General features: G+C 44.2%; 1 protein-coding gene across 3 annotated transcripts, besides 2 other annotated features; it reads right to left on the bottom strand.

Moving 5' to 3' along the window:
• STEEP1 (STING1 ER exit protein 1) lies at positions 728 to 27988 on the bottom strand. Of its 3 annotated transcripts, none has more exons than NM_022101.4 (7): positions 27811 to 27988; positions 22847 to 22964; positions 8042 to 8083; positions 6932 to 7070; positions 5084 to 5173; positions 3907 to 3999; positions 728 to 2368 (listed from the first exon to the last, which is right to left on the bottom strand). In NM_022101.4, the coding sequence occupies exons 1-7, from the start codon at positions 27932 to 27934 to the stop codon at positions 2306 to 2308; spliced, it is 669 nt and encodes a 222-aa protein (NP_071384.1). In that variant the 5' UTR covers positions 27935 to 27988; the 3' UTR covers positions 728 to 2305. The 3 variants fall into 3 exon arrangements, with proteins under 3 accessions (NP_071384.1, NP_001164040.1, NP_001164041.1); NM_001170569.1 differs by having other exon boundaries at positions 27704 to 27988; NM_001170570.2 differs by lacking the exon at positions 8042 to 8083.
• Positions 4289 to 4790: an enhancer, noted in NCBI's record as "H3K27ac hESC enhancer chrX:118675673-118676174 (GRCh37/hg19 assembly coordinates)". NCBI's record gives its function as "activates a minimal SCP1, AML or CMV promoter by ChIP-STARR-seq in naive H9 embryonic stem cells {active_cell/tissue: H9 hESC(naive)}" and the evidence as "EXISTENCE:reporter gene assay evidence [ECO:0000049][PMID:30033119]".
• Positions 4791 to 5290: an enhancer, noted in NCBI's record as "H3K27ac hESC enhancer chrX:118676175-118676674 (GRCh37/hg19 assembly coordinates)". NCBI's record gives its function as "activates a minimal SCP1, AML or CMV promoter by ChIP-STARR-seq in naive H9 embryonic stem cells {active_cell/tissue: H9 hESC(naive)}" and the evidence as "EXISTENCE:reporter gene assay evidence [ECO:0000049][PMID:30033119]".

Consider the following 27996-nt stretch of genomic DNA (forward strand, 5'->3'; position numbering starts at 1 on the left):
TAGATTAAGATAATACCTGTAAAGTGCTTTCCATGGCATCCAACACATAGTAAGTGCTCAATAAAAGGTAGCTAGTATTATTGTTGCTATTCTTACTACTATTTTTTCATTATTACTGTTAATAAAATAATCACCCTTCAAATCTAAAAACAAAATAAAATAGGTTTAGAGGAAGTGAGCACATGAGAGTAGCAAGGATAGGTTGTGGTCAGAGAGCAGAGTACTGGATTTCAGAGGTGGAGTGGATGACATCCAGGCTGTGGTATGGGAGTTTGTGGCTAAAGTGCAGGAAAGGTAAAGGTCACTGTCTGGAGTTGAGGTTAAGGAACTGTAAGGTTATGGTTTCTCATCCACATGACGGTTAATTATCTCTCAGAATGAGGACGGGAAACAAGGTAGAGAGGAAGAATTGGTTGCGAAGACTTCACTGGATACAGGAAAATAACTGGGAAGAAGGTAACACAGCCCCATCCTGGGCCTTCCTGGGACCCCCACCCCTCTTTTTCCCAGTTCTTGCTAGCTCACATCTAACCTACTTTGCCTTGCAAATAAGGAGATCAGAAAAAAAGCAAAACAAACAAACAAACCAAACAAAAACAAAAACATACAAACAAAAAAAAACCTGCCCTACTATCCTACTATCATCTCCCGGTAGCACCTCACGAACCTGCCTTGGGCACCTACTAAGTGCAACTTTTTGTAGATAATACAAGAAGGTTAACACAACTCCTGTCCCAACACCTTTTAATACAGTTGAATGGATAAAAACATGGATACAAACACATGGATATAGGTATCATTGAAGCAGTGTGACATAAAATAACATCTATATATACAACACTCCTCTGCAAATAACAAATGTAAAGTAAAAGATACCCAACAAATCATTTTGTTTATCTTGCTATCATTTCTTAATCTATAACGTCTCCCTCCCATGTATCCATGCAAGGAAGCAGTATCAGCTGCCCGACTAGAGGGTAGCTCCCTCCCTTGGGTTACTTTTTTTTTTTTTTTTTTTTGTAGAGACAGAGTCTCACTCTGTCGCCCAGGCTGGAGTGCTGGAGTACAGTGGTGCAATCTCAGCTCACTGCAACCTCCACCTCCCGAGTTCAAGCAATTCTCCTGCCTCTGCCTCCCAAGTAGCCGTGACTACAGGGGTATGCCGCCACACCTGGCTAATTTCTTTTGTATTTTAGTAGAGACAGGGTTTCACCATGTTGCCCAGGCTGGTCTCAAACTCCTGAGCTCAGGCAATCTGCCCGCCTCTGCCTCCCAAACTGCTAGGATTACAGGCGTGAGCCACCGTACCCGGCCACCCTTGGGTTACTTGAGACCCTACTTTCATTTGGATCTGAGCTGTCCTACCCACTCACTGCAATCTGGCTTTTCCTTCTTTGAGTATAAAGTCGATACGGGATGGCTCGCCTACAGCTTCAGTGTTTGAAGTAAAGAAAGCTTTATGCAGATTCTGGCTTTTAATGGGTCTCCTCTGACAGTAGAAAGATTCAAACCACAGCCAATTCCAAGAACCCTTCTAAGAACAGAGACAGAGTCACTTCAAAGGATCTGACTTGCTATACCTAAATATAATTCATGGTGCTTTTCCTATGACACACCATAATATTTTGTCCAAAAATCTTGCAACATGTTATTAACTTTGAAGAAAGAATAAAAGCAGCCACTTTAGAGACTGGAGACACTCAAGCACTCATCTATTCATAAAGTTTCTACACAGCTGAAGAAGTTTGCATCAAGTGGACAAAAAATAGTACAGAAAACCTAAATACAGAAAAATTCAGAAAACTCCATCTCCTAGAAAGCAGGGCAAGGCTGGGCACGGTGGCTCACTCCTGTAATCCCAGCACTTTGGGAGGCCTAGGTGGGTGGATCATTTGAGGTCAGGAGTTGGAGACCAGCCTGGCCAACATGGTGGAACCCGTCTCTACTAAAAATACAAAAATTAGCCAGGCGTGGTGGCACATGCCTGTAATCCCAGCTACTCAGGAGGCTGAGGCAGGAGAACTGCTTGAACCCGGGAGGCGGAGGTTGCAGTGAGCCGAGATCGCACCACTGCACTCCATCCTGGGCGAAAGAGCAAGACTTTATCTCAAAAAAAAAAAAAAAAAAAAGAAAGCAAGTTAAATGGACTCAGTTAAAGACCTCACTGAATGTAGGAGAATCAATGGGAAACAACGTAAAGCCTTCTGCTAGGGCATAAATAGGAATCCGTCTATGTAATCAAGAAATTACTTTGCCTCCTGATCTAAATGCTTGCCTCTAGTCTAGGGCTTAGAAAAAGGCCTGGTTATTTGAACTGGTTGTCAATCAAGGTCCCCTTCATTTTCGCTTTCTTGGCTTCCAATTCAGCCTAGAAAGAAAAAAAAAGCATATGTCTTGATACATGACATGAAATTATTTTCCTTCCTTATTCTAACCAACCCAAACACTCTCCCTTAATGTTCATTTAGTGTACAAACTAGAATCATGGTTCCCAAATCATTATATACCTCTAACATCTACTTTCCAACCTTTCTGATGTTATAGCACATACACAAAAAATGCTATTTGTAGGCAAAATGGGCAAAAAGACAAGGCTGTGGCCACAGGAAATCAGCGCAGGGATTCCAGCAGCCCCAGCGCCCCCCACAGGCTGAGGGAACCAATACTGTGGCATACCAGTATGCTATTCTTGGCAGAACAGGAAGAACATCATTCTACAACAGTGCTACTTAAAGTTATATGGTCTATGAACTATTTGTTATTGGTCCACACAAAATATGTACAAAAATGGATAGTAAGCATTTAGAAGCTTTTATAGCAATTTGACACAATAGTAATTTTTAAAATCTGATAAAAATTGAGACAATTCATTTTTATTGTATTTTATAAATTACAAATCTGTTCATGGAAATTTGAAAAAAGGAAAGCACTGGTCTTTCTGCCTTTGAAAGGTTGAGAAGCACTGTTCTAAACGACTATGGCAAGGTAAAGCAGCTCCCAGGACCCACCACTTCTGTCACCAAAAACTCACTACAGACACAAAGAGACTGGTATACCTTTGGATGAGACACCAACATAGTGATATCTGATTTTGATGAAATATTTTAAGTAATTGTCAAAAAAAAATACATAGGCACCATCATACACAGATCCATATGCTCTAAGATGAGCCCATGAATAGTGCAGAAAACCACCAGTGCTTTAAGAAGCAATGACCAGCCCCAATCCTGGTACTACCAAGGTAGCCCTATCATGTGCCATTACATCCTGGGACAACGTCCAGAAACCCTGACCTTTAACTCCTGATCTTGGACCACAAGAAGCAGATTAAAATATCATCCTGGCCTGGCGTGGTGGCTCACGCCTGAAATCCCAGTACTTTGGGAGCCCGAGGCGGGCAGATCACCTGAGGTCAGGAGTTCGAGACCAGCCTGGCCAACATGGTGAAACCCCATCTCTACTAAAAATACAAAAATTAGCCAGGTGTGGTGGCACGTGCCTGTAGTCCCAGCTACTCAGGAGGCTGAGGCAGGAGAATCCCTTGAACCCGGGAGGCGGAGGTTGCAGTGAGCTGAGACCACGCCACGGCACTCCAGCCTGGGCGACAAAGTGAGATTCCAGCTCCAAAATAAATAAATAAATAAAATAAAAATAAAATACAGAAAATAAAATATCATCCTAGTTAGGGCTATAACAAGTATCATCATTTAAGGCCTAGATCCTGGGGTCACTACTACAGAGTAGGGTATACTGACAGTCACAGACCAGGGTTATAAAACTGGCAGCCAACTACTCTAAAACCTCCCAACAGATTTCCTAAAAGATTTCCCTGCCTGCTGAAAGGTCTTTCAGACCAAGACATCCAAATGATAGGGCCCCAGCACCTTGCTACCCCTTGCTACTCACCAGCTCTTGCAGTCGCCTCTTGCTCATGCCTTTGCGCTCCAGCTGTTTTTCAATCACTTTGGCATTCTGTGCATATGAGTCAGCAACTTCCCTCTGAAGGAAAAAAGGAGCATCCTTAAACCGGAAGTCTCACCAAGGAATAACAACAAAGACGTTAAGTCATAATGTATACTACTCAAATCATGAAATCATGACTAAAATGGCAGGACTCTGTTCCTTTTCCATTCTCCATCTTTTCAGTAATCCAGGAGCACTTAGGGTATTTTGTTTGATTGCTTGTTTGTTTGTTTGTTTTGAGACAGAGACTGACTCTGTTGCCCAGGCTGGAGTGCAGTAGCACAATCTTGGCTCACTGCAACCTCCACCTCCCGGGTTCAAGTGATTCTTCAGTAGCATTTACGTTTTAACCAAAACATATGTAAAACAGCAGATGACATCTTGCCATCAATATCGTTATACTGAAGAACCATAAAGGTAATTGCTACTACTACTGAGGACAGACTCACAAACCACGAGTTGGGCTGGAAGGAAACTGAAATCTTTCAGTCCAGTAGTTTCTCAAATTAAGAGGGATGAGCACTTTGCCCTCTAAGGCATCTCTAAAAATAGCATGGAGGAAAAAATCACTGATCTCATTCAACATCCAACTCCTTCGTTTTCATTTTACAGATGTCCCTGAGATTCAAGGAAACAGGAACTGGCTCACTGTCAGAGTTTCTTTTCTTTTCTTTTTTTTTTTTTTTTTTTTTTTTTTTTTTGAGACAGAGACCCGCTCTGTCCCCAGGCTGGAGTGCACTGGCGCAATCTCGGTTCACTGAAGCCTCCACCTCCCGGGTTCAAGCGATTCTCATGCCTCAGCCTCCCGAGTAGCTGGGATTACAGGCGCGCACCAACACGCCCGGCTAATTTTTTGTATTTTTAGTAGAAACGGGGTTTCACCATGTTGGCCAGGCTGGTCTTGATCTCCTGACCTTATGATCCGCCCGTCTCGGTCTCCCAAACTGCTGGGATTACAGGCGTGAGCCACCACACCCAGCCCATAGTTTCTTATCAGCAGAGCAGGGTCTAAAAGTGAAGTCTCTAATATTTCCACTACTCCAAGGCTCCCGCTCTAGAGTCCCCTTTCCTCGTACCCTTCTCCCCAAATTCCAGTTTCCTTAAGACCAGAGACACTTACAGCCTCAATCTCCTCTTCCTCTTCATCAATGGTAGACACGGTGACAGAACTGAACTTGCCCATGTCTTTGGTCCGTTTGGTCATCATCACCTGGAGTGGCAGGCAAGAAGAAGTCAGTCCGGTTCACCAAAACAGGATCCATGAGCCGTGAGTGTGTGCGCACACGCCTGTGTGAGGGGCTGTGGGTATTGGGGGAAACACTACCTCTTTGGGACAGGATGACCTATTTAAAAGTGCCAATGTTTTTATTTACATATTTTTCTAACATTTGCCATCAAAGGCTCTTATTTTTTTTTAATTTACTTTATTTTTTTGAAATAGCATCTCACTCTGCTGCCCAGGCTGGAATACAGTGGCACAATCATAGCTCACTGCAACCTCAAACTCCTGGGCTCAAGTGATCTTCCTGCCTCAACCTCCCACGTAGCTAGGATTACAGGCATATGCCCCCACGCCTGGCTAATTTTACATTTTTGTAGAGACTGGGTCTCGCAAAAAAAAAAAAAAAAAAAAAAAAAAAAGAAGGACAGAAGGTATAAAAAAGCATCCTTAACGCTTAATGTCTCAGGCTTGTATCCAACTCCTGGCCTCAGGCAATCCTCCTGCCTTGGCCTCCCAAAGTGCTAGGATTACAGGCGAGAGACACTATGCATGGTCCATCATGGGTTCTTAAAATTTATTTTTAATTACTTTTTTTTTTTTGAGATGGAGTCTCACTATTGTTGCCCAGCCTGAAGTGCAATGGTGCAATCTTGGCTCCGTAACCTCTGCCTCCTGGGTTCAAGCGATTCTCCTGCCTCAGCCTCCTGAGTAGCTGGGATTACAGGCATGCACCACCATGCCCAGCTAATTTTGTATTTTTAGTAGAGACGGGGTTTCTCCATGTTTGTCGGGCCGGTCTCGAACTCCTGACCTCAGGTGATCCGCCCACCTCGGCCTCCCAAAGTGCTGGGATTACAGGAGTGAGCCACTGCACCCGGCCAATTAATTTTTTTTAAGAGACAGGGTCTTACTGTCACCCAGGCTGGAGTGCAGTGGCACAATCATAGCTGACTGTAACCTCAAACTCCTGGGCTAAAGTGATCCTCCCGCCTCAGTCTCCTGAATAGCTAGAACTATAGGTGAATACCATCACACCCAGCCAATTTACTTTTTTTTGTAGAGATAGGGTCTCGCCGTGCTGCCCAGGCTGGTCTCAAACTCCTGGCCTCAAGTGATCCTCCCACTTCTGCCTCCCAAAGTGCTGGGATTACAGGCATGAGCCACCATGCCCAGCTTGGAATATATTTTTTAATTAGCCTAATTCATTGTTTTTAATTGTTCAAAAAAAAATTTGTAAAATAACACATGATATCTCTCCATAAAAAGAAGAAAATTTGAAGGAAATTAATGTGAGTAAAAACCATACAATTTCTAACCTTAGTCATGAGGCAACTGTAGGAAAGAGAGAACACATAACAGGTGTTACAATTACATAGCATCTGTTTATACACAAAAATGGCACCCGATTAATAAAGAATGCATCCATACACATGCTTGAGGGGATGAATACCCCATTTTCCATGATGTGATTACACATTGCATACCTGTATCAAAATATCTCATGTACCCCATAAATATGTGCATCTATATACCCCCCAAATCGTTTTTAACTTTTAAAAAATAAAAATAAAGTATAAGAATATATCCATAAAGAAAAAAGAAATAAAATAAGAAAAAGACAAAAAAAGAAAAAGAAATAAAAAGAATACATCCATAAAGAGCAGTTTCTCATCACTATAATCTTATTTCAAAACATGAGCTAAATCTAGAGCTATATTAAGCAGTCTCTCCTTCAATGGTAATTACCTTCTTAGGAGGCTCTTGTTTCTGAGTATATATGTTCGTTTTCCCAAAGCCCTGGCCAAACTTGACTACTGCTCCATCCACAATGAAGGTAACAGGAGCATTCTTTGGCTGGGATTGGTAGAAGAGCGGCAGTCCACACCTGCAATGACACAGTGAATTTCTGCGAGGTCTCATAATCCAAATTCCCAAAACAGCAATTTGCAAAGTGTGCTTAGACTCTGGGAATATTTCTGTTTGTGGCATAAACTAATGACTGGCTCTTCTCAGTGTCTCCCAAAACTACCTCTACCTGATAAGAATCACTTAGGCCGGGCGTGGTGGCTCACGCCTGTAATCTCAGCACTTTGGGAGGCCGAGGCAGGTGGATCACCTGAGATCAGGAGTTCAAGACCAGCCTGGCCAACATGGCAAAACCCCATCTCTACTCAAAATACAAAAATTAGCCAGGCATGGTGGCAGGTGCCTGTAATCCCAGCTACTCGGGAGGTTGACACAGGAGAACTGCTTGAACCCGGGAGGTGGAGGTTGCAGTGAGTGGAGATCATGCCACTGCACTCCAGCCTGGGCAACAAGAGCAAGACTCTGTCTCAAAAAAAAAAATTCATTTTTCTGGCCAGCTGGTCAAAGATACAACTTTGACTAGCCTCTTTGGGGAACATATTGGTATTTGTGCATAGTTGAAGTCTGAAGGCAGTTGATAAGGATAAAGACATAATGGGGGTCGGACGAGGTGGCTCAGGCCTGTAATCCCAGCAGTTTTGGAGGCTGAGGTGGGCGGATGAACTCAGGTCAGGAGTTCGAGACCAGCCTGACCAACATGTTGAAACCCTGTCTCTACTAAAATACAAAAATTAGCCAGGCATGGTGGCATGTGCCTGTAATCCCAGCTACTAGAGAGGCTGAGGCAGGAGAATCGCTTAAACCCAGGAGGCAGAGGTTAAGGTGACCTGAGATTGCACCACTGCACTCCAGCCTGGGCGACAGAGCAAGACTCTGTCTCAAAAAAAAAAAAAAAGACATAATGGAGAGTTGTATCCAAATAATTATTTTCCTAACACATTATGCCTCTACTTGCCTATGCTTGGAGAAACCCACATTGTTAATACTTACTTTGCACATTTCTTCCTGTACTGTCGTTCAATGCCTTCAGGTCTGCACAGAAAATGGAAGTTAAAAAGATATGAACAAATCTCATTATGTATCAACCTTACTATCCCATTTCTTCAAACGCTAAGAGGCCCTTTCAAAAGTTTTCATTTGGGGGCCGGGCACGGTGGCTCACGCCTGTAATCCCAGCACTCTGGGAGGCTGAGGCGGGCGGATCACCTGAGGTCAGGAGTTCGAGACCAGCCTCAACATGGGGAAACCCCGTCTCTACTAAAAATACAAAATTAGCCGGGCGCAGTGGTGCATGCCTATAATCTCAGCTACTCGGGAGGCTGAGGCAGGAGAATTGCTTGAACCTGGGAGGCGGAGGTTGCGGTGAGCCGAGAGCGAGCCATTGCACTCCAGCCTGGGCAACAAGAGTGAAACTCCGTCTCAAAAAAAAAAAAAAAAAAAAGTTTTCATTTCATAGGTCAACTCATTGGTTCAACATTCCTCCCTTCCTGCAACAAACATTTATGGAGCCCCTGATACAGGTCAGGTATCTCCCTGACAAAGGAAGAGGAAGAGGAGGAGCAGTGTAGTCATAATCATAGGTAGCAATAGTAGTTGTAGTAATAACAACAACAATAATAGCGGCAACCACTTATAAACCCTTTACTATGTGCCAAGAGCTATTCTAAAGTATACATGTATTAACTCGGCTGGGCACGGTGGCTCACGCCTGCAATCCTAGCACTTTGGGAGGCCCAGGTGGGTGGATCATTTGAGGTAAGGAGTTCGAGACTATCCTGGCCAACATGGGGAAACTCCGTCTCTACTAAAAATATAAAAATTAGCTGGGCGTGGTGGCGGATGCCTGTAATCCCAGCTACTCAGGAGGCTGAGGCAGGAGAATCACCTGAACCTGGAAGGCAGAGGCTGCAGTGAGCCGAGTTCACGCCACTGCACTCCAGCCTGGGTGACGGAACGAGACTCCATCTCAAAAAAAAAAAAAAAAAGTATACATGTATTAACTCATTTAATCCTTACAACAACTCTGTGAGGTATGTCATATTATTATTCCCACTTTATGAATGAAGAACCTAGGCCCACAGAGTATTACATGGCTTGCCCAAAGTCGTGGAGCTAGGAAGCAGAGGTTGAATTTAAGCCCAGGCAGTCAAGCTCAAGAGCCCACACAATACCACCTTAGACACCAAGTCATATACACAAGGACTCAATTCCACCCACACGGCTGTTTAACAGAAACCTGGGACTCATCCTTGATTCTTCTCTTCCCCTCATCTCCCACACTTACTTCATCAGCAAATTCTATGGATTTTTATCTCCAAGAAAAGACCTTGAATCTGTCTGCTTGTCTCCACGTTCCTGCCACTATCTTAGCCTACACCACCATTATCAACTCCCTGGACGACTGTAACAAACGGTCCTGACTGGTCTCTTCACTTCCCCTCCCCTTGTTTCAACTTTGTAATAGGCAATATATGCATATGGTATACATAAGAGTATAAAACAAAAAATATCTTCCCTACTCATCCTCCACCCACCCAGTTCCCTTCCCCAGAGGCAAATACTGTTTCTGGTTTCTTCTGTTCATCCTAGAGATAGCTGATGCATATATAAGCAAAGAACTCTGACTGGTACATAAAGAAAATATTTTTTTCCTTTTTTAGACAAATGTACGCTGTTCTCTACTTTTGTTCACTTAAAAATATAACTTGGTTAAATATATATATATATTCCATATCAATAGATAAAGAGTTACTTCATTCTTTACAAGGACCGCATTGTATTCCTTTGTATAGATAAACCAAAATGTCTTTTACGTGTTGGACAAATTCCTAGAAGTGTGTACATTTTAAATTCTGGTAGATGCTGCCAAATTTCTCTCTATAGAAGTTGAACCAATTTAGACTCACACTACCAATATACTGAGAGTTCCTGTTTCCCTACAGTCTCACCAACACTGGATGCCGTTAAATTGCATCACTGCCATTCTCACATGTGAAAAATGGAATCTTTTAATTTGAATTTCTTTTTTTAGGAGTAAAGTTACACATCTTTTCATATATTTAATAGTCATTTGCATTTTCTTTGTTTTGAACTGTTAGTTCATGTCCTTTGTTTATTCAGTTACCTTTTAATTTTATATTAAGGAAACTTGCAATAATTAAGGGGCCTTGTTTATTCTCTAGTTTGTCATTTGTCTTTGACTTTTTCCACCATGTGGAAATTTTAGGTTTTTCTGTGGTCAAACCAATCTTCTTTTCTCACATAATAATTCATACAATTCAATAGCAAATAAATAAATAACCTGATTTTTTAAATGGGCAATGGACCTGAACAGACATTTCTCCAAGACATACAAATGGCCAACAGGTATATGAAAAGACTAATCATCAGGGAAATGCAAATCAATACCATAATGAGGGCCGGACGTGGTAGCTCATACCTGTAATGCCAGCACTTTGGGAGGCCGAGGCGGGCAGATTACTTGAGGCCAGCAGTTCAAGACCAGCCTGGCCAACATGGTAAAACCCCATCTCTACTAAAAATACAAAAATTAGCTGGGTGTTGTGACACATGCCTGTAATCCCAGCTACTTGGGAGGCTGACACAGGAGAATCGCTTGAACCTGGGAGGCAGAGGTTGCAGTGAGCCAAGATTGCGTCACTGCACTCCAGCCTGGACAACAGAGCAAGACCCTGTCTCAAACAAACAAACAAACAAACAAAAAAACCATAATGAGATATCCTCTCATTCCAGTTAGAATGGCTGTTATCAAAAAGACAAGGCTAGGTGCAGTGGCTCACGCCTGTAATCCCAGCACTGTGGGAGGCCGAGGCAGGCGGATCACGAAGGTCAGGAGATCGAGACCATCCTGGCCAACATGGTGAAACCCCATCTCTACTAAGATACAAAAAATTAGCCAGGCATGGTGGCATGCGCCTGTAGTCCCAGCTACTAGGGAGGATGAGGCAGGGGAATCACTTGAACCCGGGAGGTAGAGGTTGCAGTGAACCGAGATTGCACCACTGCACTCCAGCCTGGTGACAGAGTAAGACTCTGTCTCAAAAAAAAAAAAAAAAAAAAAAAAGACAAAAATTAAATGTTAGGGAGGATGTGGAGAAAAGGGAACCCTTATATACTGCTAGTGAAAATGTAAATTAGTACAGCCATTATGGAACACAGTATGGGAGATTCCTCAGAAAATTATAGAACTACCCTATGATCCAGCAATCCCACTTCTTGGTATATATCCAAAGGAAATGAGTTCAGTATCTCAAAGAGATATGTGCACTCTCATGCTCATTGCAGCATTATTCACAACAGCCAAGATATGGAAGCAACCTAAATGTCTATCAATGGCTAAATGGATAAAGAAAAGGTGGCACGCACGCACACATGCACACACAACAGAACATTATTCAGCCTTATGAAAAGAAGGAAATCCTGCCATTTGTGATAATATGGATGGACTTGGAGGACATTATGCTAAATGAAATAAGCCAAACACAGAAAGACAAATACTACATGATCTCACTTGTTTGTGGAATCCAAAATAGTCAAACTCATAGAAGCAGAGAGTAGAATGGTGATTGCCAGGGGCTGAAGGTGGAGGAAATGGGAGGTTGTTGTCCAATGGATATAAAGTTTCTGTTGCGCAAGATGAGTAAGTTTTGGAGATCTAATGTACAGCATCATAACTATAGTTAACAATACTGTATTGTACATTCTAAATTTGTTAAGTATCCTCACTACCTACACACACAAAGAAAATGGTAACTGTGAGGTGATAGATACATTAATGAGCTTAATTGTGGTGATCATTTCACAGTGTATATGTATATCAAAATATCAAGCTGTATCCCTTAAACATATACAATTTTTGTCAATTATACCTCAATAAAGCTAAAAAAATTAACACATCATATTGATAGAAGGAAAGAGAAAAACATAATCATTTCAATAGACACATAGAAAAAGCACTTGACAAAAGTCAAAACCCCTTCAATATACTAAGAATAGAAGGGAACTTCCTCTACCTAATAAAGGGCATCTCTGAAAAACCCCCATCTGTTTACCCACGTCTTAGTGCATTTTCTGTTACTGTAACATAATACCACAGACTGGATAATTTATAAATAAAAGAGATTGATTTCTCACAGTTCTGAAAGCTGGGAAGCATAAGAGCATGGCTCCGGCATTGGGCAAGGGCCTTCGTGCTGCATCATAACACGGCAGAAGGGCAAGTAAGTATGAGAAAGCTCGATTTTAAAACAAAGCCGCTCCTGCAATAACAGACCTACTCACATGACAGCAACGTTAATCCATGCATAAGAGCAGAGCCTCATTAATCCATTCATAGGGCAGACAGATTGTTTCCAACACATGAACTTTTGGGGAACACATTCAAATCATAGCACCACATAAACTAACATCATACTTAATAGTGAAAGACTGAAAGCTTTCCCCCTAAAATCAGGAACAAGATAAAGATGCCACTCTCACTACTTCTATTCAACACCTAGAATAAATTTAACAAAAGAAGTGCAAGAAATGTCCACTGAAAACTAAAAAGTATTACCAAAAGAAATTAAAGAAGACCTAAATAAATGTAAACACATTTTGATGTTCATGGATTGGAAGACTTAATATTGTTAAGGTGGCAATATTCCTCGAATGAATTTCCAGATTCAACACAATCCCTTTCAAAATCCCAGCTGGCTTTTTCACAGAAATTTAAGCTGATCCTAAAATTAATATGCAATTGGAAGAAATCCAGTAGAGCCAAAGCAATCTTGAAAAAACAAGAACAAAGTTGGAGAACTCACACTTCCCAATTTCAAAATTGACTAAAAAGCTATAGTAATAAAGACAGGGTGATACTGGTATAAGGACAGACATACAGGTCAATGGAATAGAACTGAGAGTCTAAAATAAACCCATACATATATGGTTAACTGATTTTCAACAAGGGTGCCAAGACCATTAAGGGGGAAAAACTCAGTCTTTTTAACAAAAGGTCCTGGGAAAACTAGATAGCCACATGCAAAAGGATGAATTTAGCCCCCTACCTCATGCTATATACAAAAATTAACTCAAAATGAATGAAAGACCTAAATGTAAGAAGTAAAATTATAAAACTCTTGGAAGAAAACATAGCTGCAAATCTTCATATGCTTGGATTAGGCAAACATTTCTTCTTTTATTTTTGAAACAGATTCGGGCTGTGTCACCCAGTCTGGAGTACAGTGGCACGATCTTGGCTGGCTCACTACAAACTCCACCTACCAGGTTCAAGCGATTCTCTCCTACCTCAGCCCCGAGCAGCTGAGACTACAGGTGTGCACCACCACATATGGTTAATTTTTGTGTTTTTAGTAGACATGGGGTTTCGCCATGTTGGCCAGGCTAGTTTCAAACTCCTGGCCTCAAATGATTCACCCACCTCGGCCTCCCAAAGTGCTAGGATTACAAGCATGAGCCACCACGCCTGGCCATTTCTTAGATATGATGCCTAAAGCACAAGCAATGGAAGAAAAAAATCAGATATATGGGATGATAAAAATTTAAAACTTGTGTGCTTCAAAGAATATCATCAAAAAAGTGAGAAAACAATTCACAGGATGAAAGAAAATATTTGCAAATCATATATATGATAAGGGACTAGTATGCATAACATAGAATTCTTACAACTCAACAACAGAAAGACAAATACACCAATTTAAAAATGGGGGCCAGGTGCGGCGGCTCACACCTGTAATCCCAGCACTCTGGGAGGCCAAGGCAGGTGGATCACCTGAGGTCAGGAGCTCAAGACCAGCCTGACCAACATGGTGAAACCCCATCTCTACTAAATACAAAAAATTAGCCGGGCATGGTGGTACGTGCCTGTAATCCCAGCTACTTGGGAGGCTGAGGCAGGAGAATCGCTTGAACCCTGGAGGTGGAGATTGTAGTGAACCGAGATTGCAACACTGCATTCCAGCCTGGGCAACAAGAGCAAAACTCTGTCTCAAAAAAAAAAAAAAAAGAATTTCTACTTCCTCTGTTTCCCCTGTCCTTCCTAAGGTTCCCCTCCAACTTAACTGGCCAGGGCAGAGATGAGGGAGGAACGAGGAAGCGGGCAGGCAGGCAGTACAACTGAGGCAGATGGTTTATTGGTGAATGCCAGCTGTTTGGGAAAAACTCTGTCAACCTGGGTTTTTCCTCTGATCTCACACCACAACAACAACCTTCAACACAGAAGAAGACTTCTGTGGCCAAATGTGTGTGGGTTTTTCCCCACACTCCAATAAATGGATGCCAGCTAGGTGTCCTCCAATTCAGTTCTGACACTGTCTACTCGGACACAGCGTCAGATACCACAGGTTGACGGCTTGGTCCCCAAGACCGGCCACTAACCAGATACCAGTCGCAAGTCCAGGCTTCCAAAACTTTTTTTTTTTTTTTTTTTAAGACTGAGTCTCACTCTGTGACCCAGATTGGAGTGCAGTGGCACATCTTGGCTCATTGCAACCTCCGCCTCCCAGGTTCAAGCGATTCTCCTGCCTCAGCCTCCTGAGGACTACAGGTGCGCACCACCACGCCCAGCTAATTTTTTGTATTTTTAGTAAAGATGGGGTTTCACTGTGTTGGTCAGGATGGTCTCAATCTCCAGACCTCATGATCCACCTGCCTCAGGCTCCCAAAGTGCTGGGATTATAGGCATAAGCCACCGCACCTGGCTGCCCGGCTAATTTTTGCAACTTTTTTGTAGAGACAGGGTTTCGCCATGTTGGTCAGGCTGGTCTGGAACCCCTAACCTCAAGTGATCTGCCCGCTTCGGCCTCCCAAAGTGCTAGGATTACAGGCATGAGCCGCCATGCCTAGTCAGGCCTCCAGAACTTCTGACCAACCAGCTTCAAGTTGGGGTTCCCACGACCCCCTCTTTGGGTTCGATTACTTTGCTAGTGCAGCTCACAGAACTCAGGGAAATAGTTAATGTTTACCAGTTAACTACAGAGGATATCACAAAGGATACAGAGAAGAGATGCACAGGGTGAGCTAAGGGGCAAGGGGCGTGGAGCTTCCATGCCCTCCCTGGACACGCCACCCTTCAGGAACCTCCACATATTCAGCCATCCAGAAGCCTCCCAAACCCTGTCCTCCTGGGTTGTTATGGAAGCTTTGTTACAGAGGCATGATTGACAACCATGTAGAAATGTGATTGGACAAAAAGCACATTATCTAAATCCAGCAAGGCCTGTCTGTTCAGACTTTTCTTGGCCTCTGTGCAGCATTCCTTTCTCTAGGGCAGAGGTGTCCAATCTTTTGCACAATCTTGCAAACATACTAAAACCACTGAATCATACACTTTAAAATGGTGACTTTTATGGTATGTAGACTATAACTCAATTTAAAAGAAACTAAATCTCGGCTGGGTGTGGTGGCTCACACCTGTAATCCCAGCACTTTGGGAGGCTGAGGTGGGCAGATCACCTGAGGTCAGGAGTTCAAGACCAGCCTGGCCAACATGGTGAAACCCTGTCTCTACAAAAATTACCCAGGTATGATGGCGGGTGCCTGTAATCCCAGCTACTCAGGAGGCTGAGGTGGAAGAATTACTTGAACCTGGGAGGCGGAGGTTACAGTGAACGGAGATCGCGCCGTTGCACTCCAGCCTATGTAACAGAGTGAGACTGTCTCAAAAAAAAAAAAAAAGTGGAAAACAGAAACGAAATCTCTGAGGGTAAAGCTGAGGCATTCGCATTAAAACAAACAAACAAACAAAAAACTCCTCCAGATGATTCTGGCACACAGCAAAGGTTGAGAATCACTTTGCTAAGGTGTACATGAAAAGCAGAATTTATAAGGCACACATTATATGCACCTTTAGCTATACTGGATGTTGCCAAAGTACTTTCCAAAGTCATTATAACTATTTGTGGTCTTTCTGGTACTGTAGGAGACTTCCAGTTGCTCTTTGACAACACATGGGTATTATTTTCCCAATTGAAGGATAAGGAAATTGGGGGCCTAAAAGATTACTTGCCCAAAGTCACAAAGTGGTACTGCTTGGGATATAACTATACAGACTGTGCTGACCATCATCTTTAATGTTCTGCCTCTCCATTTACAAGTATTACTTATGTCAAAGGTGCTCCAATTCATTGACATCACTGGACCAGGGCACTAATAATATTTTTGGTTCTATATACCCTCTCTGGTCCCACTGGGACTAAATTCAACCCCATACTGAAGGGAGAGATTCACCATACAGAGAATGAACTTCCCCTAGAATCCTGAAGTCGGCCAATCCCGTAAGTTCAAGCTTTCAAAACACATAGAAATATCAAATAAATGGGGCCGCATATTTCTCAATGAGTTAATCTTCAAGTACCAATGACAAACTGGATTTTGTCAAGTTTATAAAAATGTATCTATTTCTAACTATGTGCCAAGAAGCAGGCAAGATGTCTGTCCTAAGGGTTTCAGAAAAATAAGGCAGGGTTCCTGCTCTCAAAAAGTTCATCTTATTGAAATAGTGAGACTTTAATGTAAATGAGGTAAGAATTTCAAGTGGTATGACTTAAAGAAGTGATTAATATGAGCTAGATGTTTGGGATAATTGACCTTGATTTTCTTTCCTATCCTGAATCTCAAGGAATATATGAGATAGGGAAGACTCTGTGACCAAAAACAAAACAAAACATTCTCGGCCGGGCACGGTGGCTCACGCCTGTAATCCCAGCACTTTGGGAGGCCAAGGCGGGTGGATCATTTGAGGTCAGGAGTTCGAGACCAGCCTGGCCAACACAGTGAAACCCCGTCTCTACTAAAAATACAAAAATTAGCCAGGCATGGTGGTGCATGCCTGTAATCCCAGCTACTCGGGAAGCTGAGGCAGGAGAATCACTTGAACCCAGGAGGTGGAGGTTGCAGTGAGCCAAGATTGCGCCACTGCACTCCAGCCTGGGCAACAGAGTGAGACTTCATCTCAAGAAAAAAAATTCTCCATTCTGGCTGTGGTAGCTAGCCTCTAAGGTGGCCCCCAATGATCCTTGTCCCTGGTACTAACACCCTTGTATAGTCACCTCCCACAATGAATAGCGCTGACTTGTGACACCAAAAGGACATCACAGAAACAACTGTGTGTGCCTTCTGAGTCATAGCCATAAAACACATTGCGGCTTTTGCCTTGCTCTCCTGAATTACTTACATTATGGGAAGCCAGCTGCCATGTCATGAGGATACTCAAGCAGCCTTATGGAAAGATCCCTGTGTTGAGAAACTGAGGCTTCTTGCCAACAGTTAGCACTCAACTGCCTACCATATGAGACACCTTGGAAGATGACTCTCCAGCCCTAATCAAGATTTCAGGCCAGGCACGGTGGCTCACACCTGTAATCCCAGCATTTTGGGAGGACAAGGCAGGGGGATTGCTTGAGCCTAGGAGTTCAAGAACAGCCTGGGCAACATAGGAAGACCCTGTCTTTACAAAAAAAAATTAAAAATTAGCCAGGCATGGTGGCACATGCCTATGGTCCCAGCTACTCAGGAGGCTGAGGTGGGAGGATCACTTGAGCCCAGGAGATCGAGACTGCAGTGAGCTGTGATTGTGCCACTGCACTCTAGCCTGCGTGACAGAGTGAGACCCTGCCTCAAAAAAAAAAAAAGACTTCAGATGACTGTTTACATAGTCATCTTCTTAATCGCAGCTTCATGAGAGACCAGAATCACCTAGCTAAGCTTGCTCTTGAATTCCTGACCCACAGAAAATACATAAAATGATAAATGTTTGTTCTTTAAAAAAAAAAAAATCAAGAGAGTACCAGAAGATGAAGATGGACAGATCATAGAGCGCATTCAGGCTTATATTTTTATCCAGCCAACTAGGAGTGTTTTCCTTGTACTCCACAATGATCCCTAAATGAAATCAGATGGGGAGGAAGGAGGAGTCCTTAATGGATTGGGCTAGACTCCTCCCCACTCAGAGCAGCTTTCTGCTTATCAGTCTTATTTATACTTCTGGGTAAGAATTTAATTAAAGAAAGGATTTTTCATCTAAAAATGTTTCAAAGGCATTGCTATAAGTGATGAAGGGTCACTAACAGATTTGAAGCAGGTGACTGACATAATGTGTATTTCAGATAATTCAAGCAGTAGAGGATAGACTGGAGGAGAGCAAAACTAGAGACCAAAAGACCAGGTAAGAGGCCACTTCAGTAGTCTAAGTAAGTGATTTTGGGTACTGAAATAACGGCAGTGCAGCAGGGCTGAACAGGAGGCAGCAGCCACAAAAGAGATTAGAAGGCAGAATCGACAGTACATGGTGAGTGACTAGATGTATGCAGGGGATGATGGTGGGATGGTGGGGACAGATGAGACAAAGAGAGACTGACTCCTAGATTTCTGGCTGGGGCCACTGCATGAATCCTGGTGTCATCATAAGAAGAAGGAAAAGAAGGACTAGCATTTGGCTAATAGTAATAGAGACCTGACTGCAATGGCTTCAACAAAAGAGCTTGTTCTCTCATGTAACATCAGGAGGAAGGCAGTTCTGAGCACTGGTTGAGACCCAAGGATAGCAGGGCAAAGGCTCTGCAATTCTTGTGGCCTCTCCTTCCCAGTTCCAGGCTGGCTGCTAGTGTTCCAATTATCATGTCCATTTCCCAAGAAGCAGGATGGAATAAGGATAAAGGGTAAAAAAGGCTTGAAGTCACCCATCAGCTGACATCTACTTCCATCTCTTTTGCTTGGCCAAAGCTAAGTCATATTCAGAATCTTAGTTGTTGGGGGGAAGGGGACTGGAATATGCACCCTAACTTTACAGACACTCGTGTATAGGAGGGTGTAGCAGAAGAGTGTCAGAGTACGCCTGTAATCCCAGCACTTTGGGAGGCCGAAGTGGGCGGATCACGAGGTCAGGAGATCGAGACCGTCCCGGCTAACACAGTGAAACCCCGTCTCTACTAAAAACACAAAAAATTAGCCGGGCGTGGTTGCAGGCACCTGTAGTCCCAGCTACTCAGGAGGCTGAGGCAGGAGAATGGCCTGAACCCGGGAGGCGGAGCTTGCAGTGAGCTGAGATCACGCCACTGCACTCCAGCCTGGGTGACAGAGCGAGACTCCGTCTCAAAAAAAAAAAAAAAAAGAGTGTCAGAGTGGTGCTGAGCGAATCGATCTGTGGTACTGTCCACAGTAGAGAAATGATAAGTTTGGCCTTCATCATGTTGGATCTGAAAAGTAGGACATCAGGTGAAGAGGTAGAGTAGGCAACTGGCTATACAGTTCTGGGACACAGGAAGGCACAGTAGGCAGATTTAGATTTTATCATCAGCATAAAAGTGTAACTAATGCCATGTAAGGTGACAAGAATGCCCAAGGAAGGCATAAAGAGAGTGGGGACAAAAGCAAGGTCAGAACCGCATGGAATACCAATACTTGAGGGGCAGGCAGAAGAAAAAGAATCCAAAGGATTGAGAAGGCCAAAGAAGGAGAAGGAGGCTCACAAGAGCAGCTTCACGTGTTGAAACCCTGTCTCTACTAAAAATACAAAAATTAGCCAGGCATAGTGGTGCACAACCGTAATCCCAGCTACATGGGAGGCTGAGGCAGGAGGATCACTTGAACCCAGGAGGCAGAGGTTGCAGTGAGCTGAGATCGCATCACTGCACTCCAGCTTGGGTGACAGAGCGAGACTCTATCTCAAAAAAAAAAAAAAAAAAGAAAAGAAAGAAAGAAAACATGTAGCTAGATGTCAGCCTATAGTTTTTTTCTGGTTCAACACTAAAGTTTCATAAGGGCAGGATTCTTTGCTGTTTACTGGTTGTACTGGGTTAGATAGTGACCCTTAAAAATTCACATTCTGGCCGGGCACAGTGGCTCATGCCTGTGATCCCAGCACTTTGGGAGGCCGAGGTGGGAGGATCACTTGAGTCCAAGAGTTTGAGACCAGCCTGGCCAACATGGTGAAACCCCATCTCTACTAAAAACACAAAAACTAGCCAGGCATGGTAGCACACACCATCTCAAAAAAAAAAAAAAAAAGAAAAAAGAAAAAAGAAAAAAAAATCCACATCCATCCAGGAACCTCAGAATGTGACCTTATTTGGAAATAGTGATGTTGCAGACATAATTAGTTAAGTTAAAATGATGTCATACTGGAGGAGGATGGGCCCTTAATCCAATATGATTGGTGCCCTTATAAGAAAAGAACAGGCAAAGGGAGAATGCCATGTGATGATACAAGCACTGACTGGAGTGATGCATTTACAATACAAGCCAAGGAATGCCAAGGATTGCTGGTAAACGCCAAAAACCAGGAATGAGGCAAGGAAGGATTCTCCCCTACAATCTTGAGAGAGAGCATGGACTTACCAATACCTTGATTTCAGACTTCTAGCCTCCACAACTATTAAACAACTTCTCTTGTTTTAGGCCACCCAATTTGTAGTACTTTATTTTTTTTTTATTTTTTGAGACAGTGTCTCACTCTGTCGCCCAGGCTGGAGTACAGTGGCACAATCTCAGCTCACTGCAACCTCTGCCTCCCCATACAAGCAATTCTCCTATCCCAGCCTCCCGAGTAGCTGGGATTACAGGCACACGCGCCACCATGCCCAACTAATTTTTGTATTTTTAGTAGAGATGGGGTTTCACTACGTTGGCCAGCCTGGTCTCGAACTCCTGGTCTCAAGTGATCCACCCACCTCAGCCTCTCAAAGTGTTGGGATTACAGGCGTGAGCCACCACACCCAGGCTGTAGTACTTTACTATGGCAGCTCTAGAAAACTAATACACTGGCGGCCGGGCACGATGGCTCACGTCTGTAATCCCAGCACTTTGGGAGGCCAAGGCAGACAGACCACGAGGTCAGGAGATCGAGGCCATCCTGGCTAACACGGTGAAACCCCGTCTCTACTAAAAATACAAAAAAAAATTAGCCGGGCATGGTGGCAGGCGCCTGTAGTCCCAGCTACTCGGGAGGCTGAGGCAGGAGAACGGCGTGAACCTGGGAGGCAGAGCTTGCAGTGAGCCGAGATCGCGCCACTGTACTCCAGCCTGGGTGACAGAGCGAGACTCCGTCTCCAAAAAAAAGAAAACTAATACACTGGTATATATTCCAGACTTCTAGGATAGTACCTGGAACATAGTAGGAGCTCGGTAAATGAAATATTTGTTGCATGAATGGATGGATTTTTTAATTCCCTAGGATTGACCTTTCCATGACTTCTAGCACCTGCTGCTGACCGTCCCCTAGCCACACCCCCACACACTTCTTGATACTCTCTCCTATTTTCTGCATCACCAGGTTCTTCTGGTTCTGTTCCAATTCTTTTGTCTGCCTTTTAAATATTCAGTCCTATCTGCTTGCTCCACACTCTGTAATTTTATCCCTTCCCAGGTTTCAATTTCCCATATATACCAAACTCCCAAATCTAAAACAGAGCTAACCACATCACACCCCTGCTTAAAAAACAGAGATAGGCCGGGCGCAGTGGCTCACCCCTCTAATCCCAGCACTTTGGGAGGCAGAGGCAGGTGGATCGCCTGAGGCCAGAAGTTCGAGACCAGCCTGGCCAACATAGTGAAATCCCATCTCTACTAAAAATACAAAAAATTAGCCAGGCGTGGTGGCAGGTGCCTGAAATCCCAGCTACTCAGGACGCTGAGGCAGGAGAATCGCTTGAACCTGGGAGGCGGAGGTTGCAGTGAGCCAAGATCACACCATTGCACTCCAGCCTGGGCAACAAGAGCGAAACTCCGTCAAAAAAAAAAAAACGGAGATGGCTCTTCATTGCCTACAGATTAAGGCCAAACTTGTCCACTTCAGCACTTTACTCTGTCCTCACCCTAGTATGCATGATGCCGTTCCTGTAAAGTAACCTGTGCTCCAGTCACAAACGACAATTCAGGTTTCTAAAGCACACCATGTTTGATGCTTTTAATGCTTCCATATTCCTTCCACCTGGAATGCTCTTCATTCCCTTCATCTACTTGGTGAAATCCTAGTTCAGGCTAAACACAAATGCCATCATCTTTTGAAGCCTTTCCTGGCCACCATTCAGGACAAATGACCCACTCCCACCTGTTTTTCCTTTCGTTCAGAAGACCAGTATTTTTTCCTATCACAATAGGAGTCATTCCCTCAAAGTCATGAGCTCTTTAATGGTAAAAATCATACCTTATTCATCTTCACAGATCCAGTACCTAGCTCAGTGCCTGGCACACGGTATGCTCCACAAGATTACAGGTTGAATGAACTCATTCAAACCTGTAAATTGTAAACAAACTACGGCTATCAAATGGCAATGGAGGGGCCGGGCACAGTGGCTTATGCCTGTAATCCCAGCACTTTGGGAGGCCAAGGAGGGAGAATCACTTGAGGCCAGGAGTTCAAGACCAGCCTGGCCGACATGGTGAAACTGCGTCTCTACTAAAAATACAAAAATTAGCTGGGCGTGGTGGCGCACGCCTGTCATCCCAGCTACTGGGGAGGCTGAGGCAAGAGAGTTGCTTGAATCTGGGAGGTGGAGGTTGCGGTAAGCCGAGGTCACACCACTGCACTCCAGCCTGAGCAACAGAGTGAGTGAGACTCCATCTCAATTAAAAAAAAAAAGCAATGGAATCACATGTGAGCACCATTTCAACAAAGCACAATAAAGATATTACTACATTAACAGAAGTTAGAAAACCACCACAAATGTCAAAGTATTGGGACCAACTGACCTGTTCAACAATAGATGTGATATTTATATTATTCAGAAACAGACTCCAACACAATAGGGAAATCCTAAACAGGGAGCATCAACCTCTTACCTCCGCAGATACATAGTCTCCTCATCTTCTGTGTTACAAAACTTATGGGCATGTTTGGCAGCATCAATCACACGGGACCGGTCCCGGGGCCTCATGGGCAATTTCTCTAACTGGCAGTCTGAAGGAATGGAGAGATTTGGTCACTAGAGTCATGGCAAAATATAGCAAATGAGTCACTGCAAAATATCCTGAGAAGTTTTGAGTGGGATCCCTAGCACTAGAATTTTCTACTACAATTACTATGCTTATTGAAACCTATTATTGAATGTTCCAACTAAAAATGACTTGCTATCAGGAGACCTTGGTATTTGGACCCAGCTCTCTTACTACCCTGGTGATCTTTGGCAAATCACTTCCTCCTTTGGAGACTTTTGCCTCATTTGAAAGATGAGTTAGATGATATTATCTCAAAAGTCCTTCCCAATACTGCAATTCAGGTTTCTGTAAGTATTTCTGTGATCATAGTACACTTGGTTTGTGTTATAATGCATTAGAATCAGGAGACACAATCAAGCATACTGGAATGCCTACAAGGAAGCACTGGGAAAAGTGGGTATGTGCTAAGAAAAGGAGAGAGGCTGGGCGTGGTGGCATGCACCTATAGTCCCAGCTACTCAGAAGAATGAGGCAGGGCGATTGCTTGAGACCAGGAGTGCAATGCTGTAGTGTTCCATGATTGTGCCTGTGAATAGCCACTGTACTCCTGCCTGGGCAACACAGCAAGACCCTGTCTCTGTTTTACAAAAAAAAAAAAAAAAGAGGCCAGGCGAGGTGGCTCATGCCTGTAATCCCAGCACTTTGGGAGGTCAAGACGAGCAGATCACCTGAGGTCAGTAGTTCAAGACCAGCCTGGCCCAGCTACTTGGGAGGCTGAGGCGAGAGAATTGCTTGAACCCAGGAGGTGGAGGTTGCAGTGAGCCAATATTGTGCCACTGCACTTCAGCCTGGGCAACAGAGCGAGACTCCGTCAAAAAACAAAAAAAAAGGAAGAGAGAGGGTGATTATATAGTATGCAAATGATCCATCCTAGTTGGAGGAATTTTAATCTGAAAACAATGAAAACACAGTAAACAAATTAGGTACAGTTGTAAAGCAGATTGAAAATTGATATAATGGGCCAGGTGCGGTGGCTCACGCTTGTAATCCAGCACTTTGGGAGGCTGAGGTGGCAGGTGGATCACCTGAGGTCAGAAGTTCGAGACCAGCCTGGCCAACATATAGCGAAACCGTCTCTACTAAAACATACAAACATTAGCAGGGCGTGGTGGCACACACCTGTAGTCCCAGCTAGTTGGGAAGCTGAGGCAGGAGAATCGCTTGAACCCAGGAGGCAGAGGGTTGCAGTGAGCTGGGATCACACCACTGCACTCCTGCCTGAGCAACAGAGGAAAACTCCGTCTCTCAAAAGAAAAAAAAAAGAAAAAAAAAGAAAATTTATATAATGCAAATTAAGCACCTAAAGGATCACAGAGAAAGTCAAGTGGTCAGAGTAATTCAAGATGAATAGAGGAGGTGAAGAGAGGAGTTAGAGAACACTAGGCAGTTTACATGTCAGCTCATTTACTCTTCACAATGAATGGTTAAAGTAAAGATTTGTTGTTCCTATTTTAAAGATGAAGGAACTGAGGTTAAAAAGGGTAAGAGATATACCATGCATCTAATAAGAAGCAGAACAAGAATTCAGACCCAACTCTAAGTGATTCAAAAGCACATGCTGTTTCCACCACACCTCCTTACCAAGAATTAATTTCTTCGATAAATACGTGAGGGCCCTCTAGGTAGCAGGCACTGTTCTAACACTGTGCTAAAGATTCAGCAAACAACAAAGCAGATAAAGTCTCCGCCCTGGCCGGGCACGGTGGCTCACGCCTGTAATCCCAGCACTTTGGGAAGCCAAGACAGGTGGATCACCTGAGGTCAGGAGTTCGAGACCAGCCTGGCCAACATGGTGAAACCCCGTCTCTCCTAAAAATACAAAAATTAACCGGGTGCGGTTGCTCACGTCTGTAATCCCAGCACTTTGGGAGGCCGAGGCTGGCGGATCACCTGAGGTCGGGAGTTTGAGACCGGCCTGACCAACATGGAGAAACCCTGTCTCTACTAAAAAAATACAAAATTAGCTGAGCATGGTGGTGCATGCCTGTAATCCCAGCTACTCGGGAGGCTGAGGCAGGAGAATCGCTTGAACCCAGGAGACGGAGGGTGCAGTGAGCCGAGATGGTGCCACTGCACTCCAGCCTGGGCAACAAGAGCGAAACTCCGTCTCAAAAAAAAAAAAAAAAATTAGCCAGACATGGTGGCAGGTGCCTGTAATCCCAGCTACTCAAGAGAATCACTTGAACCTGGGAGGCAGAGGTTGCAGTGAGGTGAGATCGCACCATTGCACTCCAGCCTGGGCTACAAGAGCTAGACACTGTTTCAAAAAAAAAAAAAAAAAGTTCCGGCCCTGATGAAGCTTACATTCTAGTGGAAGAGGCAACATATTTTAAAATAATTATAATATGATTTTGGGTAATGATAAGTGCTAAATATTAAGCAGGGTAAGAGGACAAAGTGACAGGGATGCTGTTTTAGATAAGGTAATCAGGGAAGGGTTCTCTAAGGAAATTACATTTTAGCAGAGACCTGAATGAAGTAAGGGAGGGATTGAGGGAAAAGTTTTTGGGGCAGAAGAAATACCAATTAAAAAGGCACTGGGGGGCAGGAACACTTTTGACATGATGGAGAAAAAGCAAAAAGGCCACTGTGGCTGAAGTGCGATGAGCAAGAGGAAGACTGTTAGGGAATGAAGCCTGAGAGGTAGCCACAGGCCTGATCAAGGGTCTTGGTATGGATGGACTTTGGTTTTATTCTCAGTGTTATATGAAACCATTGGTTTTGAACAGGACTCTGGCTACTATGTGGAAAAGAGTGGAAGCAACGAGAGCAAGAGACTATTGTGCCAATCCAGGTGAAAGATGGTAGTAGCTTGGACTACAGTGTTAGAAGTGGAGGTGGTAGGCCGGCCGTGGTGGCTCATGCCTGTAATCCCAGCACTTTGGGAGGCCTAGGTGGGTGGATCACTTGAGGTCAGGAGTTCAAGACCAGTCTGGCCAACATGGTGAAACCCCATCTCTACTAAAAATACAAAATTAGCCGGGCGTGGTGGCACATGCCTGTAATCCCAGCTACTAGGGAGGTTGAGGCAGGAGAATCGCTTGAACCTGGGAGGTGGAAGTTGCAGTGAGCCGAGATCGCACCACTGCACTCCAGCCTGGGCAAGAAGAGCGAAACTCCATCTCAAAAAAAAAAAGAAAAAAAAAAAAACTAGCCGGGCCTGGTGGCGCACACTACTTGGGAGGCTGAGGCAGGAGAATCGCTTGAACCTGGGAGGCGGAAGTTGCAGTGAGCTGAGACCGCGCCACAGCACTCCAGCCTGGGTGACAGAGTGAGACTCCCTCTGTCTCAAAAAGAAAAAGGAATGGAGGTGGTAAGAAGCAGTCAGATCCTGCATACATTTTCACGAAAGCACCTGCAGGATTTCCTGATGGACTGGACAGATGTAAGGTACGTGACAGACAGAAGTCAAGACTGATTCCAGGTTTTGGTCTGAGATACTGGATGAATAGTTGTACTACTGACTGCAATAGGGATGACTATAAGAGGAGCAATTGGAGAGGGGGTGTAGAGGGTCATGAACTCAATTTTCAGCACGATATATTTGAGAGGCCCATTAGACATTCAAGTGGAGATGTTGAATAGGCAATTGGAGTCTCAGGAGAGGTGCAGGTTAAAGATGAACATCTGGGAGTTACCAGCATGTCAGTTGTATTTAAAGCTTGGGAATGAATGAGATCACCTAGGGGGTGGGTACAGAGTGAGAACAGGTGAGAGTACTGAGCTATAGGGCCTTGGAATGCCTAAAAGTCTGAGAGAGAAAAGGGAGCCAGACAAGGGGAAAAATCTAAGGCTGGGCGCGGTGGCTCACGCCTGTAATCCCAGCACCTTGGGAGGCCGAGGCGGGTGGATCACGAGGTCAGGAGTTCGAGACCAGCCTGGCCAACGTAGTGAAACCCCCGTCTCTACTAAAAACACAAAAATTAGCCGGGCATGGTGGCGGGCGCCTGTAATCCCAGCTACTCGGGAGGCTGAGGCAGGAGAATCACTTGAATCCGGGAGGCAGAGCTTGCAGTGAGCCGAGATTGCACCACTGCACTCCAGCCTGGGCAGCAGAGTGAGACTCCATCTGAAAAAAAAGGGGGGGGGGAAATACGAGGTAGGAGGAAAATCAAGTGAGTATGGAGTCTTGGAAGCAAATAAAAAACATGTTGCAAAAGGAATGAAATGATTACCTCTGTCAAATGCCACTGACAGAATTAAAATGAACATTGATAACTGACCACTAGAACTGTTAACATGGAGCCAAATACGGTTAAGATGATGAGGTGGGAAGGAAAGCCTACCTGAAGTGAGGTCAGGAGAGAATTAGAAGTCAGGATGCAGAGACAGCCAATATAGGCAACTCTTTTGAGAAGCTTTGCTATAAAAGAAGCAACGAAATGGGGTTATAGCTGGAGGGGAATACAGGATCGAGGGAGGGTTTTATTTTCGTTTGCTGTGAGGTAAGAGCAACTGCAGCATCTTGGTATCCAGCAGAAAAGTTATAAAGCTTCTAGAGGCAGTAGTTTTTGAAGACAGTGGATTAAGAGGGAAATACAATATGTTTGTGTTTCTATTTTTGTTCTCCTGAAGGAGTTTAGTTTTGAGGAAGGTCTGGATACAGAGTCACAAGGCTAAACAAAAAGCAGGAAAAAAAAAAATGCCCTGGAGTGGGGCGGGGATGCGTAGGGAGGATTTAGTCGGAGAGAGAAAACCCACCAATCTTCGTTGAGAAGTGGCTCCCAGATCACAGCCAGAGGAAATTCGCCTTCAAGAACCCGAAGTCTGGCTCCTTGCAGACGCCCCCGCAGTTCCCGGCTACTCACCCAGCACTAGGACCATCTGGCCGCACAAACAGTAGTAAACATGGAGGGGCTTCTCGCCGTCGTCATATTCCTCCCGGTCCCGAGTGTCAGAGCAGACTACTGACCGAGACACTACTTTCGGCATGATTCCCAAGAGCAATCTGAAAACTCTACGCCAAGAAGAGGGTCGCCCCGAAATGACGTCAC

Source organism: Homo sapiens, chromosome X, assembly GCF_000001405.40.
Source record: "Homo sapiens chromosome X, GRCh38.p14 Primary Assembly".
Taxonomy (NCBI): Eukaryota; Metazoa; Chordata; class Mammalia; order Primates; family Hominidae; genus Homo; species Homo sapiens.

Coding starts and splice junctions, on each gene's coding strand:
- STEEP1 (NM_022101.4), bottom strand. CDS start 27,934: ATGCCGAAAGTAGTGTCTCGGTCAGTAGTCTGCTCTGACACTCGGGAC. Junction 22,965..27,810: donor CCAGATGGTCCTAGTGCTGG/GTGAGTAGCCGG, acceptor CCATTCCTTCAG/ACTGCCAGTTAGAGAAATTG. Junction 8,084..22,846: donor GAGACTATGTATCTGCGGAG/GTAAGAGGTTGA, acceptor TTTTCTGTGCAG/ACCTGAAGGCATTGAACGAC.